The following is a 23,692-nucleotide window of genomic DNA, read 5'->3' on the forward strand; positions in this document are numbered from 1 at the left end:
TAAATATGATATATAAGTTCCCATGTGGACACACTATGCTCTCAACCATTTTTTTAAAAAACAGACATATGTATATGACTATGCATATGAAAACTTTTAAAATGACTCCCCAAAATGTAAACAGTGATTATGTCTGAGTGGTGGAACTCCTGATAATTTCCTTTTTTCAATTTTATTTTTGTATATATTGTATATCTTTCAGAATGAATATGATTACTTTTATAATGGAAAAAAAAAGGCCACATCAATACTTTAAAAAAGAAAGGCTAGCATTAGGCAGGGTTTTAGCACTCACAGCCAGGACGTGATAAAGTTTTGCATCTTCCAAGGGTTCCCAGTCAGTCTTTGTGGTATGAGTCTCCAATTCCAGCCATGATCCTCCTCTGTAAGGTGGGTACCTCCCACAATGGGTGGCAGAGGGTCCACTTGCTGGCTAGAGATGCCCTCCCACCCCCCCCACCACCCCCAGGAGCTAGAGATACTGAGGGGTACTGGCTTTCACTGGGACAGTTCGTACACTTGTAAGCGGCCATCAAAAATGATATCTAGGCTGGGCACGGTGGCTCATGCCTGTAATCCCAGCACTTTGGAAGTCAGAGCAGAGCGGATCACCTGAGGTCAGGAGTTCGAGACCAGCCTGGCCAACATAGTGAAACCCCATCTCTACTAAAAATACAAAAAAAAAAAAAAAATAGCTGGGTGTGGTGGCAGGCACCTGTAATCCCAGTTACACAGGAGGCTGAGGCAGGAGAATTGCTTGAATCCAGGAGGCAGAAGCTGCAGTGAGCCAAGATCGTGCCATTGCACTCCAGCCTGGGCAGCATGAGTGAAACTCCTTCTCAAAAAAAAAAAAAAAAAAAGATATCCAGCAAGATGAAAAACTGTTGATGATACAGTTTTAAGTGAAATAGAGCAGAATACAAAAAGCCATGTTCACTAAGAACATATCTATGCAAACTATGCACATGGCAAATATTTATCAAAAGAATGAAAAAGCCTCACAAAAAATATGACCACATGCAGCCAGAGATGAGACAGACAACCAAAACTGAATGCACCTTTTCAGCAATAACAATTTTAGAGACGTTCCCAGAACTAGGATGGGTGTCTACAGGTTCTTACCCAGTGTCTCTAGGCTCCAGGGCAACCTGTTTCTTAGAGCAGAGCTTCTCAAACTTTAATGTGCACACAATTAACCTGGGATCCTGATAAAACATGGATTTGGATTCAATCGAGCTGGGCTGGCAACAAGGACTCTGAATATCTACAAGCTCCAGGTGATGCTGGGGCACAGAACACACTCAACGAGGCTTCTACCCACTACCCCAATTCTTAGCACCAAACACTTTCCCCAGAGGCCTAGCCTGGCCCTCCGTCCTCAAGCATGTCTGCACCTGAAATCATCTTTGTCCCCAGCATCTTGGCACCATCGAGACTAATAATGAGAAGCAACTCCAGGCACTTGCGTGGGATCCAGGGGGGCCTGAGGCCCCCAATTCCTTGGGAAGCTTGAACAATGACATCTTTCTGGGGTGATGGGAAGACAAAAGTGACTCCATCTTGGATGCTAATTTTCCCATGTTGACTTCTGATTAGCCCCAGTCCCATGAATGCCTCCTGACTCCTACTTTATTTACTGTCCCGAGTGTAAGAATATGTACTCCTGCTTTTAGATCAAAGCAAGCTTGATGTTATCATGCAAATTCTGGGCTATGATGCACATGGCGTTCTTGCCTGCTCTGGCACACTACCTTTCACTGTCTTGCTGGAGCATGTATATCCTTTTCCCTTGGTATATAAGCCTTGGGTCCGAGAGTAACAGTGCAGAGATCTGCCTGTCTTGTGGCCACCCGAGACCACCCGCCTGCTTAAAAGTTCCCTCAATAAATCACTCAATACCAACAAACTGGATTTGTCTGCTTCCTTCTTTGGTCTCTTGGCTCCTTTGGCATTTGGGGGTTGCTTTGTGCATGTGGGCTTTTCACAAAATAGATGGGTCCCGGAGCCTGGGCTTCGCTGGCAGGTGGTCACCTGGAGCAGCCAGCAGCAGATGGCACCACAGGACAAGCACAAGCTGTGTCCAAGAGAGTGGCTCAAGAAATCTGCCCAAAATCCAACACAAAAATGAACAAAGGAACTGAATGGGAGATGTGACCAAAAGAAGCGATAAGACAAACAGCTCCAGGAGGGGAGCTGCTGGCTCAAAGAGCACTTGTCTTGGGCGTCAGTTCCACCGGTTCTTGGTCAGGGGTGAGAGCCCTATGCCAGACCCCCTTTGCAGAACCTATGCTGGCTTATGATGAGGCTCTTCCAGGGCTCCAGCACATGAATACCCTGCCCTGGGAGGCTATAGTAGGCCAGCCACTGTCCACTCTGCTGGAGGGTCAGTCTGAGCCAACAGAACCATGCGGAGACATCCCATCCAATGCAGCCCAGGAGCAGTCTTGACATTTCTTTCCCTGCAAGGACAGGCTGTCTGGTCCACACATAGATGAAGCCTTGGGCCTGGTTCAGCATCCAGAGGACTAGGCCATAACCCCCAAGGTAAGATATTCACACTCATTGGAGCCCTTTCTCCTTTTTCCCTGGATGGCTGGAGGAAGGGGACCCCTGCTTTTTTCAGCCAGTGCCCCATGAAGTTAGACTCCCAGGACTCCCTGCCCCTGATCCTACTTAAGGCCACTGGGATGCCCAATACCCTGAGGAAGCTTTGAAAGATACGTGGCACATTATCTGGGGCAAGTCAGCTCAGTGGTCAGAGCACAGAGTGAAGGAGGCTGCAGCCATAGCCTTGAGTTCTGGAGGCCTCTGTAGTGGGTCAACAGTGGGGAGAGCCACAGAGTCTCGGTCCAGCTACTGTATCAAATGAGGTCCTGGGAGGCAAGGAAGGGCAGGCAGGAGACTATGGCTGCAGGAGCCTGAGCCCTGGCCCCCTTCCCATGCTGGACTCCTGTCCAGCACCAAACATTCAGCAGTGAGTGGCACCTTTACCATCAACCCACCATGGAAAACTTCCCTGGAGCTCTCTCCTTGTGCCAGGGCCTGTCCATGGCATGTAAGACACAAGCCCCATGATGGTATGGATTTCACCTGCAAGGCGCTTGCCATCTCATCGAGGAGAGGAACTTGCAGGCTGATTTCCATGTAAGGTGGAAGACACAGTGATAGAGAAAAGGGATGGAGTAGGAAGTGAGTCCTGGAATTCCTGCTGCAGAGGGCTGTAAGCCAAGACTACTGCATCTATTGTCTTCAGCTGGATGCGCTAATGATCTAACAGTAATCCCACTGCTTTGCATCCACAGAATTCTTTACTTCTGAAGCACCTCCACACACCATCTCTCACAGAGGTGAAGAGTTGACCAAGGTCTAGAGCTCTGACTCCAAGCGCTCCTTCCCTCACCCCACAGTGGCCCCGTGGTCTCACTGGTGGAGGTGAAATCCCTGGGTTCCCAGGCCAGGCATCTGTTGCTGTGTCACCAGAATGAACCCTGCCTGCTGCCAGCAGACATCTCCGGCTCTGGCATCTTTCAGCTCAAGCTGCAAGGCTTACTGTGACCTCTGGAATCTGTGCTCAGAATTCTCCCAGGAACAAACAGCTGAAGTATCAAAATGCCAGTCTTCACGATGCAAATGGATGCAAAAACAGCTCTTGCCAGCCTATCTGGACCCCAGAAAGCCAGGAATGCTGGGGTGCCACCCCAGCTTGCAGTGTGCCCACTTAGCTAAGTGGAAGAGCCTGGCAAGGGACATGGCAGGGAGAAGACCTAGACCTGGTTAAATGGGATTGGACCTGCCACTTAGCCTCAGGGACCCTTTGGAGACTTCCGTATGTACTGTGGACAGGGGCAGATGCTCTGACTCCTCCAGGGGGGCGCTCTGCTGGCAAGTCAGCACCAGGGCCTTGATCTCCTTCTTGAAGTTGGTGTTGAGAAAGCCATAGATGAATGGGTTGACACAGGTGGAGGCCATGGCAAGCAAGTGGCACACTAAGAAGATGAGGTTCCCATGGCAGATGGGGATGGCCTCATGGTGCCAGTCTTCCAGGCTGTTGAACACATGCAGAGGCAGCCAGAGCACGGCAAAGGCCACCACCATCACCACCAGCACCACATTGACCTGCTTCATGTGCCCAGCTCGCAAGCTGTAGGTGCCCTTGTGAAACACGCGCCCCTGCCTCTGCAGGCACCGGTAGATGCGTGCATAACAGACCAAGATGAAGCCCAGTGGGAGGCAGTACTGGAAGAGGAGCAGGAAGGTGGTGTAGATGGTGCGGTGGTGAGCCAGTGGCCAGGACTCGGTACAGACCACCTTATCCGCCAGGAACTCCAGAGCCTTGGAGTGGTTCTTGTGGAAGACATTCTCCAGGATGCTGTTGGCCAGGAAGGGCAGGGAGAGGACACAGGCAATGACCCAGATGAGCACAATCCCCAGGTAGGCCTGTGAGATGCTGGGCTTCCAGCCTGTTGGGTTGATGATGAGCTGATGCCTCTCCAGGGCCACGAGGACGAGCGAGAGGATGGAGACCGTCACCGACATGCACTGGATGAAGGCCGACATCTTGCAGAGGGTCTCTCCAAAGATCCAGTAGTCCATGATGGTGTAGACGGCGGTCAGCGGCTGGCAGAGGAGGCACATGAGGAAGTCAGAGAAGGCCAGGTTGGCGATAAGCAGGTTGGTCACGTTGGCTTTCTCCTTCTGCCTCACAGTCACACACATCAGGCAGAGGTTACCCAGGACCCCCACGACAGTCTCAATGCTGTAGGAAGTGACGATGAAGACCATCACGTCCACGGAATCCTGGCAATGTTCAGAGAAGTTGTATGGGGTGCCCAGGGGTTTGCTTCTGTTTTCACCTTGTGGAGATTTTGGGAGCAGCAAGGCCAGGAGGTGAGAGGTGTTCATAGTGGATGTGAAAAGATTCCAGGACTCTTGAACTAAGTGATACACTTGAGGGATGACGCCTACAAGGCAAACAGACAAACAATACTCAGGGATCATGCCCAGGGTAGAATCCAGAGAGGAGCAGGGCCGGGTAGAAAGGCTCTCAGCTGCTTCCAACCCAAGGCTGGTATCTGGAGGGGCTATTACCTAAGGCTTATGGTGAGACATTGGCATCCAATGATTGCTACCTTGTTAGAAGCACTTGTTGCATGCTGGGTACTGTGCTCAGCACTTTCGTCTATTAGCTAGTTTATTCCTAGAGGTAGATATTATCAATCCGTTTCATAGATGAGGAATCTAAGACCCTGAGATGGAAAGCAACTTGCCCATAGTCACACAGCTAATTAGTAACAGGGCCCAGTTACAAACTCAGGTCATCTAATGCCAGAACTTGTTCTACTAATTCCCTCCGGCCTCAGGATGAGGCTGTTCTGATGATAAAGAAGTTGGAGTGCTGTATGCAGACTTTAGTGACGGAATTGTTCAGGGAACATGGGTAGAATGCCCCTTGTCACATTTTATCTTAATGGAGACAGCAATAAATGCCACTCTGCACAGGATTGCTTGTGTCCTTCCACGGCACCCCATTCCCTTCAAGATAGAGCTAAAGCCTCGGGGATCCACAATCAGTGCACCCTCCTGGTCTCAGCCCCTCCCTGCCCTGGTAGCCTTGTTTTTTAGGTGATACCTGGCAAAACTGAAGACTGCCCAGTATGCAAAGCCTGGCTCATCAGCACACCAGCTTCTTCCTACTACCCACCATGTGCACAGACATACCTGGCCAAAGTCACAGGTGCCCAGTGCCCTCCACAGAACCTACTCCATGACTATGTTCAAGTCACTTGATGCAGTGTGCAGCTCACAAGCACACCAGACTCTTCCACATCTCTATGCCCTGGTACAGGCTGTCCCTTCTCCGAGGACCTCCTCAGCACAACGGACCCCCTGCCAAGACTGAGTTGGAATTTAGACTCCAGAGTTCCCCCGTGTTAGTGCCAATGATGGATGTTTTGCATGGGAAGCACCATACCACTACATACATCATTGTGACTCACCTCTCAGATTCTCTAGTCATTATTAATCCCACAGGGTTGCAGTTCTCAACCTTCAGTAAACATCAGAATCATTCTAGAAGCATGTTGAAAGTGCAGATCCCAGGGCCCTTCCACCAGGAGATGTAGTTAAGTGAATCCAGGATGGGGGCCAGGAATCTGTATTTAACAAGTAGACTATGTGATTCTGATGCACATGGCCCTTGGACCCCATCTTGTAAAACACTATAGCAGAAAACCCTATTTGAGATATTCTTTAAGTCTCATATCATGGCCATATGTATTTTTTACATGATCAATTGCTATGTTAAGGCAGTTTTTGCAGAGCACAAGGCCAAAATCAACCAGAGCTCAGTAAAATCTATTTGTCGGCTGTCATGAATGTCACTTGCTGTGCATCTGATCTACTTATAAAGATGAGTTTCTAAGGTCAGGACTTCAACACCTGCCTGGCCAACATGGTGAAACCCCGTCTCCGCTGAAAATACAAAAATTAGCCAAGTGTGGTGGTGCATGCCTGTAGTCCCAGCTACATGGGAGGGTGAAGCAGGAGAATCACTTGAACCTGGGAGGCGGAGGTTGCAGTCAGCAGAGAGTGCACCACTGCACTCCAGCCTGGGCAACAGAGCGAGACTCTGTCTCAAAAAAAAAAAAAAGAGTCTCATTTGGTCATTTAAAAGATCAAGCTGTGAATTCACCTGATAGTTTACAGTCTGGTTATTTAGGAACCAGATCTCGAAGGCAGGAAGATTTCTCCAGCACTATGGTCTTCGGGCAAAAAGGGCCATTTGGGGCTGAACATGGCAAAATAAACTATTCCAGAGCCAAACACAGGGCCCAATATAAGATAAAGAACAGTCGCAGCTGCATGAACCTGTGGCAGAGGCACTGCACTCAGAAGCAGCAAATGGGCCAGAACCCAAGGCTCTGGGTGACCATCAGCAAGGCTTGGCCAGTGGTGTGGAGAAACACCATTCATCCCAAACCAACCACCTAAAGCAGGATCAGAGTGGAAGGACTGGGCTGGGAGGGCTCCAGAAAATGCTCACTGCTTCATTCACCCACTCAATAAGTGTGTGTCAAGCCCTGGGCTAGAAACAAGGGCTGCAAAGATGACTTATACAGTCATGGCCCTCCCAGAGCAGAGGGGCTGACCAGCACGAATGCAGATGGAACTCATTGCCATTGCCAACACCAATATGAAAGAGAGGCCTGTGAGTTGAGAGATCAGAGAAGGAGCAGGGAGCAGGGAGGTGAGAGAAGAGGTGGCAATGGTACAGGGCTCAAAGGCTGAAGAGGAGTCAACCAGCCAAAGGGACAGGGAGAGGAGGGAACTCGAAGTGCAAGGAACAGCATGTGCAAAGGCACAGAGGCAGGAAGGAGCAGAGCCTGCTGGGAAAAGTAAGCAGAATAAGAGGTTCCAGGGTGGCAGATGATGAAGCTGGAGTGGTGGGCCAGACCAGCAAGGTCAGGTCCATTCCAGTAAGATCACTTGGATATAGAAAATGGATTGGCAGAGAGGGCCAAGACAGGAGGAGGAGGAGCACTGAAAAGGTGGTGTTGGGCATCTGCCTGGGGCTGCTGGGCTTGGGGTACACTGACCAGTGAGGACCAGGGGACCTCAAGTCCCTCAGGCACACCCAAGGGGGTGGCGAGTGTATGAGGGGGAGGGTAGATTATTACGCAAGGTCAATAAAATGGTGTCTCTGCATTTTGTCCCCAGGCAGCTCTCCAGATACAAAAACTAGAACCAGCTGCAAGCCCCAACAGGGACCCCCTGCAGCCTGCCTTCCCAGTCAATCAGAGGAAAATTAATGAATCATACACACAATGCTAATCTCCCAGTGGGGTTAGAATAGGGAAGGCCCTTTGCTTTGTCTCCTGAAATCTCAGCAAAAGCTACTATATCCTAATGCCCATAGCGCCCAGACACCTCAGATGCACCCCTTACCTCCTTGGCTTGCGGCTTACAGGGTGCGGATGGGGCCGCCCATGTCTCAGGTGAGGAGACTGAGGTCCACAGTGGGGGTAGGATGCTCCCCAGATCCAGTGTGACGCTCTGCGCCCCGGGCCAAGGGCAGGCAGCGCGCCCGGCTTCCCGGAGGGTTCGTACCGGGGCCCACTCGGCCCCGCCCCCGGCCGCACTCCTGTGCCCAGGGGGCACCAGGCGCGGGGCAGAGCCGCGCCTGCTTCACCTGCTCCTGCTGCCCCGATGCTGCCTGCGTGCGGAGTGGAGCGGCTGCTACGCTCCCGCCTGCGCCCGCCCAGCCTGCCCCTTGCGCCCGCCCACGAGAGGGCTCCAGCCGCCCGCCTGCCCCGGGACCCCAGCACTCGCCCTGGGGAGCCGCATCTTGAGCCCCCAAGGCCTGCCCGGAACTGCAGCCCTGCCTGCGTGTGTCTCTCACGCCCACCTCAACCCTGGATACAGGCAGGCTGGAGCTGCGCTGTCTTTCTCTCTTTCTTTCTTTCTTTCTTTCTTTCTTTCTTTCTTTCTTTCTTTCTTTCTTTCTTTCTTTCTTTCTTTCTTTCTTTCTTTCCTTTCTTTCTTTCTTTCTTTCTCTCTCTCTCTCTCTCTCCCTCCCTCCCCCTCCCTCTCTCCCTCCCTTTCTCTTTCTCCAGGAGTGTTTCTCTCTGTCTAGGGGTGTGTGCGTCTGCCTGTCTCTCTCTCTCTCTGCCTCAGTTTCCTCATCCATGAAATGGGTATAAAAAGACCTGCCTTTCATAAGTTCGTCCAGAAACATTACTTGCAGACCTCCTATGAGCCTGGCTCTCCTGCTGGGCACCAGAGCTGGACAAGACAGGCTCCCTGTCCTTGGTTCCTTCTGGAGCTCTCAGCCCTGGGGGAGAAGACAGACAGGGTACAAGGAAAGAGGGAAATAAATTATTACAGGGGGTGAGATGCTGTGAGCAAATGGGTTCGATAGGCCAGATGGATGGCACAGCCACGGCAAAAGCCCTGAGGCTGGGAGCATTCAGCCCCTGGAGACCAGGGGAGGGCAGTGTGGCTGAGAATGTCAGCCAGGGTGAGGGAAGGAGATGGGCATCCAGGGTGTGAGTGAAAACTCAGGGTGGGCCCTGGAAGTGGAGTGTCTTATCTCAGGCAGTCCCAAGGTTGTGGCGATGAGAATTCAATGAGAATGGTCACTTTCTCCTTTGGAGCTGAGATGCACATGACTTGGCTATAATGGAACAGCTTTGCTTACAAGGGCTGCTCCTGTTTTGAATACACTAGCTTATAATTCCCTGCCCCCCATCCCCACATGGCAAAGTCACATATGCGCTTAGAGAACCTCCTGAGAGTAACAGATCTGCTTCAAGAGCACCTCCTAAACACTGGACATACACACCTGTCCAGTGAACCTCCTGTGGCTCCCCATGGAAATGTCCCCATGAAGTCATGGCAGTGGTCCCTCTAGAATGGCAGCTGCCGTTTGTAGTGCAGAGACTCTGCAGACACTACCTTAGTTAATCATCACAACAGCTCTGAGAGGTGGGCATTTTTATTCCCATCGTGCTGATGAAGCAAAGTGACACTCAGTGGTTGAGCAACTTGCCCAAAGTCACTCAGCTAAGAAACAGCCAGATCCAGGATGCGAACCCACCTGCCAAGCCCCCAGGCCTCTGCTCACCATCGCTGTAGACTGGCACCTGTCATCTCTTCTTTCTGGACCATGCTCCTTCCTGTCTTGACTACCTGGAAAGCGGCTGCTCCTCCGTTGCACCCCAGCTCCGATGTCCCTGCTGCCATGACAAATTCCTACCACCCTCCCATGCTCTGCTGCAGAAGCAGATGTAGCAGCCTAGTTGGTTGTCTGCCTGAGCAGCTTTGTCTCCCCACTCCCCTATGTCTAGGTCACAGCTCTTGTCTCCGCCTCCAGATCCCAGCACAAGTCCACACACAGCATCTGACAAAGAAAGAAAGGAAGAAAGGAAGACGGAGGGAGGGAGGACATTTAAGAAGACCTGATTGTAACGGTAGCTTCCAGACATGTAAAATCAGAGAACATTGCTTGACCAGAAACTGCTCAACTCCAGCTGGGAGCTCTATGGACACCCGTCCTCTGTGCAGGCAAGAACGCAGCCACTGTCACCTCCTTCTTGCAGGGCAGCTGTGTGGGGTCTGGATTTGCTGGTAAGCCCTTGGAGGCAAGCTTCCACATAGACACATTTGAGAACTACTGCGCAAGGCACGCAGCCTGAACCCTAGCTCTTGTGGGTCAGAGAACAGCAGAAGAGCTGAAATGGTGGTAAAAGCAGCAAACAGCTCCCTTGCCAGGCAGAAGCATGTGAACATGCCCTTAGTCCATCCTCATGCCTAACTGGTGTGGTGTGATCATCCCATCTCACAGGCGAGAAAACTGAGCCTCAAAGAAGTAGAGTGTCTTGTCTCAGCCAGCCAACTTGTAGATGGTAGGGCTGGACTTTCAATCCAAAGTCCAAGCTCTTCCTTCAGGACCATAATGCCCAGGAGAGGGGTAGGTAGCTCTTCCTAGCAGACATTTCAGGTTAAACCAATACTCCCAGAGTTGGCTGCCAGACCCTTTGCCTCTGCTAGGGAAAGGAGACAGCACCCTCTGGAGGCAGCAGAGCCCTGCACCAATCATAGCCAGAGCACTTGAAGCTCCTCAAGAAAGCAGTCTGTAAGAAAGAACTGGGAGCTGCTGTTCTTCCCCCTTGCTGGAGTCCAGGGTCCGGAGCACAGCCTGAGAGGCTCTGCCAGTCAGCCAGGCTGCATTCTGCCATCTCTGGGGAAGGGGCTAGGTAGGATTTTCCTTCTGCCATAAAAGTGGCTGGCTGGTGTGACCTGCTGGAGACTGCTTCTCCTAAATAGCTTAGTGACAGGTTCCCTTCCCACCCCATCAGGAATGTTCCTCATGAATCACCCGGAAGTCAGACAGGCGCACAACTCCCTCAGGTGTGTGCAGCGCTCCACATTACCTCTCTGAACCTCAGTCCACTGCATGCTCAGTATTCCCCCTGGTCCTATGAGGAAGCTGAAGATCAGCTAGTCAGGGGATGGATAGACCCCAGGCACCCTCCTTACTGTAAATTTGCTGGGATTTGGAATCAGGCCCATTCACAGTTGCTTACACCACATTGAGAGTCAGTGTGGTGACTGGTCACAAGCCGGGCACAGAAGCCGTCTCGCATTGCCCCAGATTCTCATCTGCAAAGCGGAGCTAATAACAAAGTTTGCCTCGGGAGATGTTGTGGCAAGAAATGAGTTGAGATGAGAATGGCTCTCCACACAGTTATGGGCAAGAAACACCCTGCAGAGCTGTGGCTATAAGCATTCCTGTGTCCTGCATGCTTGCCCACCTCCCTGAGCCTCTGCCCCAGAGCTAATGGGCTGTCCCGACCAATTCTAGCTGGAAACCTCTCCAAACCCTCATCACGACCCACACATCTCACCTGGACAGTCCTAAGAGGCCCTGCAAGCTCAGCCATGGTGAGCACCTCCTAGACACTGGACAGACATACACAACTCTCCAGTGAAACCTCCTGTGGCTCCCCTTGGAAATGTCCCCATGGAGTCATGGCAGTGGTCCCTCTAGGATGGGTCCCTCTGAAATCAGTCTGACTCTCTTCCTCTTTCAGGCCTTCTAGTGCTGCCTCCCCCAGACTCATTCTGCATGTAAACTCTCCATTTTCAGGGAGTATGGTTGAGTTTCTCAGATCCAGGCTTGTGTAGATGTTGCTTCCACGGCCTGAACTCATCAAGCTCTCCATTCTCAGAGACCCATCCCACACACACAGCTCCCTGAGAAATGTCCTTGGCCATCCCTGCCCGCAACCTGTGCATTCTGAAGGGCAGCTGCCAAGCATGGTCCACTCACATATAGCTAGCTCCCGGAAGCTGTCCTACTTTTTTCATGGAAGGCTGTAGCAGAGGGAAGCCACATCAGCTATCCGGGGAAACCAGTTTATTTTCCAGTACTTATAACAGAGAAGCAAAGATCCTCACACATTTAGGAAATCAACAGCACAAAGGAGATAGGTCAAGATGAATAAACAAAATAACTGACCCCAAAAGAAGCTGAAATAACTTAGGGAATAGAAAATAACTTTAAGAGACCAAAACTTCCTTTAATGCCTAAATTAGAGAAATTACTGAATCCATATAACAAGAGCAGATTGCCATGAAATAAGACAGACTAAGAAAGCAAGAAAGAATCCTTGAAAACTAAGCATGACTACTGAAATTTGAAAACACATCATTAGAAGGGATGGGAGAACCAGCTTAGGAAATATCCCATAATGTAGAGCAAAAACACAGAAAGATGGAAAACTTCAGAGCTAAAATAAGAGACATGGATGATTAACACTAATGACCCATCATCCAATTACTAAAATTTCCAGGAAGGAAAAATCAAGACAATGAAAGGCAGCATATCAGTCATAGTCTGCACAGGACACATAATTCACCCCCAGATTGTCAAACAAAGGGATTTTAATAAAAAGGTAACTTACAGAGGTGTGGGAAGCATTAAAGGAAAGAAACAAGAAATGGTGAGGCACCCAGAGACTGGCAGAAGACAGAAGCAATCACCACCCTACAGTTAAAAGAACAAAAGGAGAAAACCACATTACCACAGCCAGAGGACTGCAGAGGAAGGGCCCCCAGTGGGAGCTTCTGTAGTGTGGAGGCATGCCACCGCCTCCAGACAGCATGGAAGCAAGGGGAAGTAGAAAAGAATTCTACCAACCTCTCTCTCCTTCCACTTCCAGTCTCCTGTCAGTCCCTCCCATTGACCAAACCCAACTGGAGCCCTGCCAGCAAAGGAGCCATCAGCTTCCCCTGGCACAGGGAAGAGCAGAGAACCACAGTAGAGAATGCATCTGGGTGGGGTGTGAGCAAAATAGTCGACACATAGAATCATCAATAGCAAGAGTATTCCAGAGCTACAGATTAAAAGGAAGCCCGAGGAACTGCTCCACACCTAGACAGGTACTGCAAAATTTCAAAACACCAAAAAAAAAAAAAAAAAAAAAAAAAAAAAAAGATTCTAAAATGTTCCATGGGTGGGAGCAGGAAGAGAAAGGTTGCCTACAAAGGAAAGGAGAGACAGAGACCATTCTCAGTCTTGTCAACAACATAGGATGATGGAAGACTCTGAAAAGATGGAGCTATATTTTTAGGACTCCTGGAAATATATTTTGAACCTAAAACGCTCATCTCAGCGATAATATCAAGTGTAAAGGTAGAATAAGGATATTTCTAAACTTGCAAGCTTACATTTCCTGAATCCTTTCTGAGAGAGTTCATTAAGGAAGTGTATTAGTCCATTTTCACACTGCTATAAAGAACTACCTAAGACTGGGTGATTTATAAACAAAACAGCTTTAATTGACTCGCAGTTCCACATGGCTGGGGAGGCCTCAGAAAACTTACAACCATGGCAGAGGGGGAAGCAAGGTACATCTTACATGGCGGCAGGAGAGAGGCTAGGGACTCCCAAACACTTTTAAACCATCAGATCTCGTGGAAACTTACCATCATGAGAACAGCATGAGGTAAACTGCCCCCATAATCCGATTACCTCCCACCAGGTACCTCCCTCGGCATGTGGAGATGACAATTAGAGATGAGATTTGGGTGGGGACACAGAGCCAAACCATATTAGAAGGTACTCCAGCACAACTGGTATAAAATCAAGCAAGGAGAGATGAGGTCAAAGAAATGGTTGAACAGGCCCAGGAGCCTGGGATTTTCTTTCCCTACGCAAATAGTAAACCTGCATTACTGTATTTCTAGGGGAATTACAGGGATCGATGCCATGATTAAAGACATGAAAGATGCAGGGACAGGGAGGCCTGTCACATTTCTGCCCACTTGGCTCACCTCTTTAGCTCTTTAGCCTGTGCAGGAAGTTGCTGAATCTTGGAGAATGACTGTATGTCGTCGTAAATTTAATCAGGCAGTAACTCCAATTTTAGCTGCTTTTCTAAATGCAACATAGAACAACTTAACCACTCTCAGCACTTAGTATGTAGCTATTGACTCAGCTTGTGTTTTCTCCCCATCTGTATCGGTAAGAACCAGCAGAAGTTTGCTTTCACCTGGCAAGGATAGAAGTACAAAGTCAGTGTCTTCTCCCAGATCATGTTCGTTTTCCAGCTTTCTGTTATAGTGTGGTCTACAGAGACCTTGATCTTCTGAACATCCCACAGATCCACAGATGGTATGCTGGTGCACTACACTGGTAGCACATGCTGATTGAACTGATGAGCAGGGAGAATAAACCAGATGCCTTCATAAGATGCATGCAGCACATGGGCATGGGTGGGACAGTAGCCATCATAGCCCGGGTAGTCTAAGCTAAGCACACGGGATATGTACCAGATGGCACCCATCTGGCGTGGGGGAGCCTGGCATGGCATGTCAGAGCCAGAATAGGACAAAGAGTGGCCATGCAGGGAGGCAGGGGCACGGTGGCCTAGCACAGGGTGTTAGAGTCCAAGTACTGTCAAATGAAAGTCCACATGGCAGAAGGGGACAACCAAGTGTGGATGTCAGAGCCACACAGAATGAGTGGAGGGGCAGAGTTCTGCTATGGAAGATTGGGTATATGCAGGGGGACCAACTGAGCAAAGTTGGGAGCCAGTTTTCTCACTCATGGAGAAGGCAGTCATGAATATGGAAGGAGGGAAACCCAGAATAAGCCCTGTGGTTTTGATTAGAATTGAAAGTATTGAAGTGAGCTCATGGTTTTCTATATAGAGAGATAAATATTGATCTAATAGTGTGTGTGCATATATATCCTTGCTCTGTCCACTGAGAGAGTCTAGGAGCAGTGATACCCCAATAGCAATGAACACTCCTAGCACCCATATATTGACTTCTAAATGCCATTCTCCATTAAAAGAATCCAAGTCTCCTTCGGAAAATGGCTGATTCCAGGGCAAGGGCTGGGAAAGCCCAAGATAAACCTGAAAGATCTTGGGAGCTAGAAAGTAATGAAGTACTCTAAGAATGAAGGGTGCAGGCCAGAAAAGCCCAGAACCTGGCTTGAAGGGGCCCTTGATGGCCAAATCTTCGACCATGTGAGCATCAAAGTAAATAATAATGATGATGGATAATAACCTACTGAATAAAATAAAAATCTGAGTCCATTTCAATATAACTAAATGATGGAGTAAAGTGACAGTTTGATGAGGAATGGAATATATTCATGGTTTCAGTGTGCCTCATCACAAAATATTTGTTTATTACAAAGAGAAGAGTCACCTTACAGTGGAGAAGGCTGGCAGTCACCTCTGTAATCAAATGATCATAGCGAACACCATCTCTAATCCTAGAGTGAAATTACTCACCGCATGACAGGATGCAAGGAAAACGCAGCACAGCTTCTGTGATCTTCCTGCTGAAGGTGCATGCAAGTGAATCCAACCCTGAAGAAGCATCAGCCTCAACCCAGGTGAGGGACATACTACAGAATAACTGGCCTGTCATCTGGAAACATAAGGCCATGGAAGTCAAGGAAAGAAGGGAGAACCATTCCAGATTGAAGGAGACCAGAGACAGGAGAATGAAACCTGTGTATCTTGGGACAGCTGATGAAACTTTAGTGGAGCCTGCAGATGAGGCGGTAGCAAGGTGTTCATGCAAATTGCCGGGATCATGCTTTCAAATGGCATAGAAAAATTAATGTTCTTTATCCTCACTTTCAACTTTTCTATAAGTTTAAGATGATTTAAATTATATTTTTAAAGGTGTCAAAAATTTTCTTCATCTTTATAGAATGAAACAGAAATAAAAATTGAAAGTGGTAACCTCTGGAAATAGAACTGGGGGAAAGAAGGAAAGAATATCAACGGGAGTTATCTGACCCATAGGATTTTAGGTCATTTTTTGCTTTGTTTCCTTTTCTAAATTTCTCTCTATTAAAAAAGAATGAATGATTACAACTTTATAAAGGAAAGAATCCATAAAATATATGTAATTAAATCCCATGGTACAAAGGGCAAAGAAGCTTGGCAACAACGCTTCCAGCCTCAGTTTTGTCATATGTAAAATGGAGCAAAGATGGGTTCAGGCTCATTACAAACTGGTGAGGGTTCAAATAATTAAGGGATAGGGATAGAATATCAAAGTATTTTCAAAGCCACATAGAAGGGAGGTGTGAGGGAGGGTTCCTAGGACTTCAAAGTCGGAAGCCGATAAGGGCCTGGCCTTCCCAGAAGCCTTCTAAGTAGAGATTCTGGCCAGCAGGGCTGCTGAAGTGGGCACACCTGCTGTAGGAGGCGTCTCCTTGGGCCCTGAGGGATCACCTGTTCTTTGTTTGCCTTTGCTTCTCTGCTGAGGCCATAAAGAGGCTGGGCTGTAAAATAACCTACTCTGGCCCCAGGAAAGAGATAAGAGATGTCAACTGGGCAGCCAACACCTTCCCTGCCTCCCACCCCAAACAGCTGGCCCTGCCCTCCCCACCCCCACCTCTTCTTCTCTCCAGAGTAAAGCTGGACTTCCCTACTGCCTCCTGCCTGTCCCTTCTCACCAATGCTGCCACCCTTTTTCTCCACTCTATTTCAAGGAAGTAGCCATCTGCCACTAAAACTTTATCCCATGGTCCAATCCATGAGCTTGAATCCAACCAGCCCAGAGCAGCATTTTCCCCCTTGATAGAGAATAAGAGAAAGACAAAGACAAAGGCACATTATTTCCCTAAAGTCCTATATTCCCTGTCTTCTGTGAACCAGTGAAATTATCAACCCACAGTGGGTCAGCTGCCCTTCTGTGGAGCACATCAGAGGAAAAATACCAACGCAGCCCTGGCTGCACACTTTGTGTCGACTCTCCCAATCCTTCTCCCTGCCTTCTGGAACTACAGAGATTCATTCAGTCTACTGTCATTCAACTAATATTTTAAAGCAGTTCAGTAGACTGAATGTTACATGGACAATAGACTCAGTGTTACAGAGACACTGGATGTACAGTTTCGCTTCCAAAGACATGTTATAAAAAAGGGCACAAATGGGATAATAAGTAAAATAGGCACCAGATTACCATATGCTTTGAACAGAGAATTTACCCTATTCTATTCCCCATCTCAAATTGTGCTTAGCTATGTTGTCCTACCAAAATTCCCTGATATGGTGATATATTAGTTAGCTAAAGCTGAGTAAAAAAGAGCCACAAAATCTTAGTGACATACAATTGACATGACTGCAGGTCAGCTGGGGCTAGCTGACCTAGGCGAGCTCAATGGGGCAGCTCTGTTTCAAGCTATGAGTCCAACTGGACTTGGCTCCTCACTGAGATTTAAACTTCTCCACTGATATTCCATCTGGGGCTCAGGCTGAAGGAGTTCAAAGAAGTGTTATGCATGGAGATGGCAGCAGTTCAAGAGGACAAGCCCAGCTATGCAAGGTAATTTCCATTCCTCCGTGAGTCACATCTGCTAACATCCATTGACCAAAGCAAGCTACATGGCTGAGCACAGTCGAGAGGCAAAGAACTGTCCCCCACCTACCCTGAGGCCAAAGCAAGTCAGAGCCATGCCCAACATTAATAGAACCAGTAACTACACTCTTCCAGTGAAATGGAGAGGTGGAAGAGTGAATATGTTTGAACAGTAGTCTCATCTATCATAGTCAATGATACAATTTCAGAAATATTAAGGAAACCAGTATTTGTATCTATCTCATTGAATATAATAATGAAAAATTTCTCATCTTACATTACCAAGTCCAACTCACTTTTTTCCACAGATAATTTTAAATCTTCCCCCAAAAGAAGCCCCATTCCATTTTCTCATGGAAATAATAAACTCAAAATTTCCCATCCCCTAGAGCAGTTTCACTCTGAAACAGATACAGTTTCCCTACACTTCCAGACTGGGCTATAGAAAGTTCTACAAGGACACACAAACATAGACAAAAAAGAATATTGCAATATTAGTCGTGTGTGTGTGTGTGTGTGTGTGTGTGTACATACATCACATGAGAAAATTCCCAGATCCAAATGAGGTATAATAGCAGCTTATAATTAGAGTAACTATTCCATTATACAAAAAAATTATCTCCCAAAAGGTACTGTTAAATCAAGTTTAGCCGGCCGGGTGCGGTGGCTCACACCTCTAATCCCAGCACTTTGGGAGGCTAAGGCAGGTGGATTACCTGAGGCCAGGAGTTTGAAACCAGCTTGGCCAACATGGTGAAACCCCATCTCTACTAAAAATACAAAAAATAGCCAGGAATGGTGGCACACACCTGTAGTCCCACCTACTTGGGAGGCTGAGGCAGGAGAATCGCTTAAACCCAGGAGATGGAGGTTGTGATGAGCCGAGATCACGCCACTGCACTCCAGCCTGAGTGACAGAGTGAGACTCCGTCTTAAAAATATAATAAAAAATAAATCAATTTAGCCTAAATCTGCCTCCTTACATATTTTAAGTTCAGCCTAAAGGTTTTTCTGTACATCATGAACTATAACAAGTGGAGGTGTAAACAGACTGTAGTCTACACTTGTGCTAATCAATGAGTTTTGGCCAATCAAATGTAGCCAACTGTTTGAACCCTGTTCAAATAAGGTGAACACCAAGCTGTAACCAATCAGCTATTTCTGTACCTCACCTCCGTTTTCTGTACCTCACTTTCCTTTCTCTGTCCATAAATCTTCCTCCATCACGTGGCTGTGCTGGAGTCTCTGAGCCTACTCTGGCTCAGAAGGCTGCCCAATTCGCGAATCATTCATTGCCTGCTCACTTAAGCTCCTTTAAATTTAATTCAGCTGAAGTTTTTCTTTTATCAGATGGTGTCAGAGCAGATCTGAAGTAGAGCTTCTAACGACTCCCAGGAGTGCTGAGTGACCGAAGCCAGGTACCTGCAGGACCTATTTGTGTTCGTTGATCTCTCAGAGCAGTTGGAAGTCATGGTAAGTTTTCTCTCCAATGTCAGAGCTCCACTGATTTGTGTTTTGAGCTCTCCGAGTTTCTTTGAGCAAATTTCTGTTCCAAACTGGGTTTGGAAGTCATGACAGAAACTGGGCTGGTTCAAGGAATGGATTTGATCTGGTAATTAACTGGCTTGGATACAGTTAGAGGCCTCTTACATCTGACTGGGTCAGAAAGAAATGTAGTAAATGGTAATATTGCAGGGGTGTAAAATTAGGCTATTGAAAATTCACAGGGATTTTTGTGTTTTACCCCTTTGTTTCTTTTTTTTTTTTTTTTTTTTTTTTTGAGACAGTCTCACCTTGTTGCCCAGGCTGGAGTGCAGTGGCACAATCTCAGCTCACTGCACTCTCTGCCTCCCAGATTCAAGTGATTCTCCTGCCTCAGCCTCCTGAGGAGCTGGGATTACAGGCGTCTACCACCACGCCCTGCTAATTTTTTGTATTTTTAGTAGAGATGGGGTTTCACCATGTTGGCCAGGCTGGTCTCGAACTCCTGACCTCAGGTGATCCACCCGCCTCGGCCTCCCAAAGAGCTGGGATAACAAGTGTGAGCCACTGCACCCGGCCTTGTTTCATTTTTCTTATGCACTTTGGTAGGAGAAAAATCATTGGCTAGGTTGATCAAAGGAACCTGAGAGCAAAGCCAAAATCTGAGGTAAAAATTGAATCCTTAATTTCTTTTTTTTCTTTAATTTGAGACGGAGTCTCGCTCTGTCGCCCAGGCTGAAGTGCAGTGGCGTGATCTCCGCTCACTGCAAGCTCCGCCTCCCGGGTTCACGCCATTCTCCTGCCTCAGCCTCCCAAGTAGCTGGGACTACAAGCACCCGCCACCACGCCCGGCTAATTTTTTTTGTATTTTTAGTAGAGACGGGGTTTCACCATGTTAGCCAGGATGGTCTCGATCTCCTGACCTCGTGATCCGCCCAACTCGCCTCCCAAAGTGCTGGGATTACAAGCATGAGCCACCGCGCCCGGCCTGGATCCTTAATTTCTGAAGAACTGAGTTCCTTCTGGCTAATACCTGCATAAGTGGTAGGCCCCGGAAGCAGCAGTCTTATAGAAATGGTGAAATCTTACTAAAGATAACTTAGAGTGGAATGTTCCAAATGAACAAAACTGCACTGAAGTGCATTTGAAAATGAGGGCTCCCAAGTTAGTCTCATCTAGGGATGTCTATTGATATGCAGAAGCTTCTAAAAAGATTTCAGTATTTTTATTTAAAGACTTTACAAAAGGCAAATCGAAAGCTTATGCGACTCATTGACTTAAAAAATTAAATCTGCTAGCCTTTTAGCTTAGTTACGATCCCGATCCAAAGGAAATAGACCGCAGCACCAATGGGCTGACTTTGGGTGAGTAGTGGGTTCATTTTACCTGGTAAAGGATGGGATTGGGTTGGAGGCCTTCCCCCTCAGTAAAGTCCCTCTTTGTTAAACGTGGATTTGGCACCATGGGGTTAACCACTATTCTCTTTGGAGTGATCTGCCTTGCACTCTTTGCTAACACCAGTGGGTGATAGGATTAGGCGTGTACCAGGCCATAGAACGTGGGGAACTTTTTCTCCCCAAAGGGGAAAATTTGGGAGCTGATGGGACTGCTCGAAAAGATCCTTCACGACCAACAATCAGCCGCCTGAACTTTTGATTCAGCATCCCTGCAATGGGTGGGTCTTTCTCTGGCCTCCCTGAGCTCCTCATCTTCCCCACTCTGCCACAGGCAATGCTTTTCTCCCTTTCTCTTCTTTCCCTTTCTTTTCTGTTAAAAGGGCGTCCATCTTGCCCAAAGATCACATGTTGAAACTCCTTTAATCCACTTTGAATGTATTAAAGATGATAGGGACCAACTGGGGGCAAGTTTGAGCCTCACAAGTTCGATAGTGGGTGCTAAGCAGAGTGGCTAATGTCTATGTTTTGTCACATGTATTTTTCTCTGGCCAGAATGGAAAACATTAATTTGGGTCCTCCATGCAGCTAGTTGGGTGGCAACTTGCAAAATTGAGAGGCTTTTGCCTATGGTTACAAACTTTGCTACAGATTCCTGAAACAAGCAGAAAACTGAATGAGGTCTCCATCTTGTTTTATGTCCTGGGGAGCTTGACCTTGTAACAGCGTGGCAGTACTTTCTCTTGGTCTCTGCCATCTAGGGAAAAGGAATTTTGGGGCTCATATCATAGTTAGCTCTAAAAATTATTTTGAGTAGTTAAAAGCCATTGCAAGCTCAAAATTGATTGCTCTAGACTCTTTGTGGGAAAAGCAGTGGAAACTGCCCAATGTTTTGGCTCAGCAGCTAAGGGTTTGCCATTTTATAATGGCAGCCTGGGTTCTATCCTAGCTTACAGAATGAGTACATTCTGGTGGACATCTCTGTGACCTTTACCGTTTGTTGATTCCCTTCCCCTCCATTAACAACTTCTGGCTTCCCTTCTTAGATTTTCCTTTCTCTGAGCTACCTTTGAAGATTCTTAATTTTGTAAAAATTGAAAATACCTCATACACTCATGGTTAAGTCATAACCTTAGTTGAGGTTTGTTGGTTTCACTCGTAGAGTTACTTACGGTAAAGTTTAAAAGCCAGATATATTGGCTGTTTGCCCTGGCTAAACTAGAGTAATGAGAAATTAAAAGAACATTTTTGTGAGTGCTGTGGTTAAAAGTCAGTTTAATTAAAGCTGACTTGGATACATATATCCAAGCTATATGTATATTTAAATGGCCTTTATGGGTTTTTATTCCCTTCTTGGATCTTATTTTTCTGAAGAAAATAGGTTTGTTTGTTTTTTCTTCTCAGTCAACTGAATTGTTTTTCTCCATTTTGTCTTCTTGCCACACTTAATGCACACATGAGAAGACCTAAGATAACTTCCAATAGTCTGGGACTCCTTAGGAAAAACAGAGGAAGTGCCATAGACCCGGTTTTGGGAAAAAATCTCGATTTTCCTCATGAAACCCCAGGAATTGAAAGTAAATAGATTTTGCATTGTGTTATCTGAAGGTTTTCAGTTTTGGGGGTATCAAAAATTACTTGCATTATAAGAGAACTTTCGTGTGTAATAACTAGGTAGGAAATATACTTTTAGAGATGGTTAATGGCAGTTATGGGGGGATACTAACCATGCTTGAATCAGAGAAGCATGCTCTTGGCCACCTAGAAGGTACGGAAAAATCCCCACCCCCTACTAGGAGTCAAATTAATTGACTCTCACGGGGGACAGGCTGATTGCAAAATGGGCTGATTGGCTTTGGGTTGCCATGCAATTAAATGCATGGTAAAAGCATTGCACTGTCTTCTATAGCATTTTCCTCTTTTTAGGGATCTGGGATGTAATATAAAAATGGGACCCTTAATTTTGGAGATCTGTTTTTGTCATTCAGTTGTGCCTCCTTATTAGGTCCTAGAAACCGCATCCTTTCCTGGCCCTGCTCCTTGAAGGACCCCACCCTGAAGCCAGTAATCTAATTAAGAAACTTAAAAACTGGCAAATGAAAAATCTTACAACTAGTGGATCTTTTTCTATCTGTGTAGTTATATATGTGTCGTGTGTGTGATGTTTATATAAACGAACTCTAAGTAATTGGCTTAAAGAAAAATAAGGCTTAAATAAAATATTTTGAAAGAAAAAACTGTAATGCCTTGTAGTTCACGTGACTTTAGTAATCTCTGAGAAATAAAAACAGTTTTAAAGATTACTGGTAAAATAAAGACATTTGGTCTAAATTAGGTAGGTCAGGCTGGGTGCAGTGGCTCATGCTCATAATCACAGCACTTTGGGAAGCCAAGGCAGGCGGATCCCTGGAGTCAGGAGTTCAAGACCAGCCTGGCCAACGCGGTAAAGCCCCATCTCTACTAAAAATACAAAAATTAGCCGGACATGGTGGCACATGCTTGTAATCCCAGCTACTCAGGAGGCTGAGGCAGGAGAATTGCTTGAGCCCGGGAGGTGGAGGTTGCAGTGAGCCAGGATCGCAACACTGCACTCCAGCCTGGGCGGCAGAGCAAGACTCCATCTCAAAAAAAATAATAATAAAATAAAATAAGTAAATAAATTAGGTAGGTCAGATATTAGGTTTACTAAATGCTTTAAGGTCATAAACTGCTTCTTTGGCTTTTGAAAATTGTTCAACTTGCCTGCTTAACAGCTAGGTCAGACCTAAGGACATGTGGAATTAACCACTCCCCTAGCTATGCTGAAAAGGGTCAGACCTTATCTGTACTTCTGTCTGGTGTCCTAGGCTCCAAACCTAGTACGTAATTAAAATCACTTACTTAACAGGGTTTTCACCAAAAATTAATATTGCTAAGAATTAACATTGTAACATGTAATTAAGACTACTAAAAAAAGTTGTACATGCAAAGTGTATGAGGAAAGCAAAATGTGCTTTTACTAAAAGATTATAACAAGGCATGGAAATGTAAATTTTTGCCTAGTTTAGAGGGTTAAAGTATTGTTTTAAATTAGGATAAAGCTAAAGGTTTGAACAAGTTGTGAAACAGTTGTGAAAAATTAATTGTAACAGAGATTCTATGTATGAACATATTGGCTAAATTTAAAGGGGTATTACTCAGTTTTTTCTGTAAATTGAACATTGGAATAAAACCACAACAGTTTCCTTAGAGCACTGATCTGCTCTTTAACAAAAATGGTAAAGGGTTATAAAAAAGACTTATGAGAATCTTATCTTATAGTCAGACATTAAAATTGAACATATTTGTCTATAAGGTTTTATTAAGAATGGGGTTTGACATCAATAATGCACTAATGCAATGCTAAAATTGGCTTTCTCTCTTGAACAAGATTTTTATGCTAT

General features: G+C 46.8%; 1 protein-coding gene across 8 annotated transcripts, besides 1 other annotated feature; it reads right to left on the bottom strand.

Annotated features, from left to right (window-relative positions):
• Positions 1,809 to 2,409: a silencer, noted in NCBI's record as "fragment chr10:47089605-47090205 (GRCh37/hg19 assembly coordinates)". NCBI's record gives its function as "represses an EF-1alpha promoter that drives an FKBP-Casp9 reporter gene in an ReSE screen in K562 erythroleukemia cells {active_cell/tissue: K562}" and the evidence as "EXISTENCE:reporter gene assay evidence [ECO:0000049][PMID:32094911]".
• NPY4R (neuropeptide Y receptor Y4) lies at positions 3,366 to 12,935 on the bottom strand. 8 transcript variants are annotated; one of them, XM_017016387.3, is made up of 3 exons: positions 12,585 to 12,918; positions 9,623 to 9,898; positions 3,366 to 4,961 (listed from the first exon to the last, which is right to left on the bottom strand). In XM_017016387.3, exon 3 carries the CDS (start codon positions 4,900 to 4,902, stop codon positions 3,775 to 3,777), a length of 1,128 nt encoding a protein of 375 aa, XP_016871876.1. In that variant the 5' UTR covers positions 4,903 to 4,961; positions 9,623 to 9,898; positions 12,585 to 12,918; the 3' UTR covers positions 3,366 to 3,774. The 8 variants fall into 8 exon arrangements, 6 of the variants coding, with proteins under 6 accessions (XP_016871876.1, NP_005963.4, XP_011538239.1 ...); NM_005972.6 differs by lacking the exons at positions 9,623 to 9,898; positions 12,585 to 12,918 and adding exons at positions 5,997 to 6,152; positions 7,945 to 8,225; XR_007061972.1 differs by lacking the exon at positions 3,366 to 4,961 and adding an exon at positions 8,492 to 8,830 and having other exon boundaries at positions 12,585 to 12,935.
• Between the last annotated feature and the right edge of the window lie 10,757 nt (positions 12,936 to 23,692).

This window comes from Homo sapiens, chromosome 10 (assembly GCF_000001405.40).
Source record: "Homo sapiens chromosome 10, GRCh38.p14 Primary Assembly".
In the NCBI taxonomy this organism is placed as follows: Eukaryota; Metazoa; Chordata; class Mammalia; order Primates; family Hominidae; genus Homo; species Homo sapiens.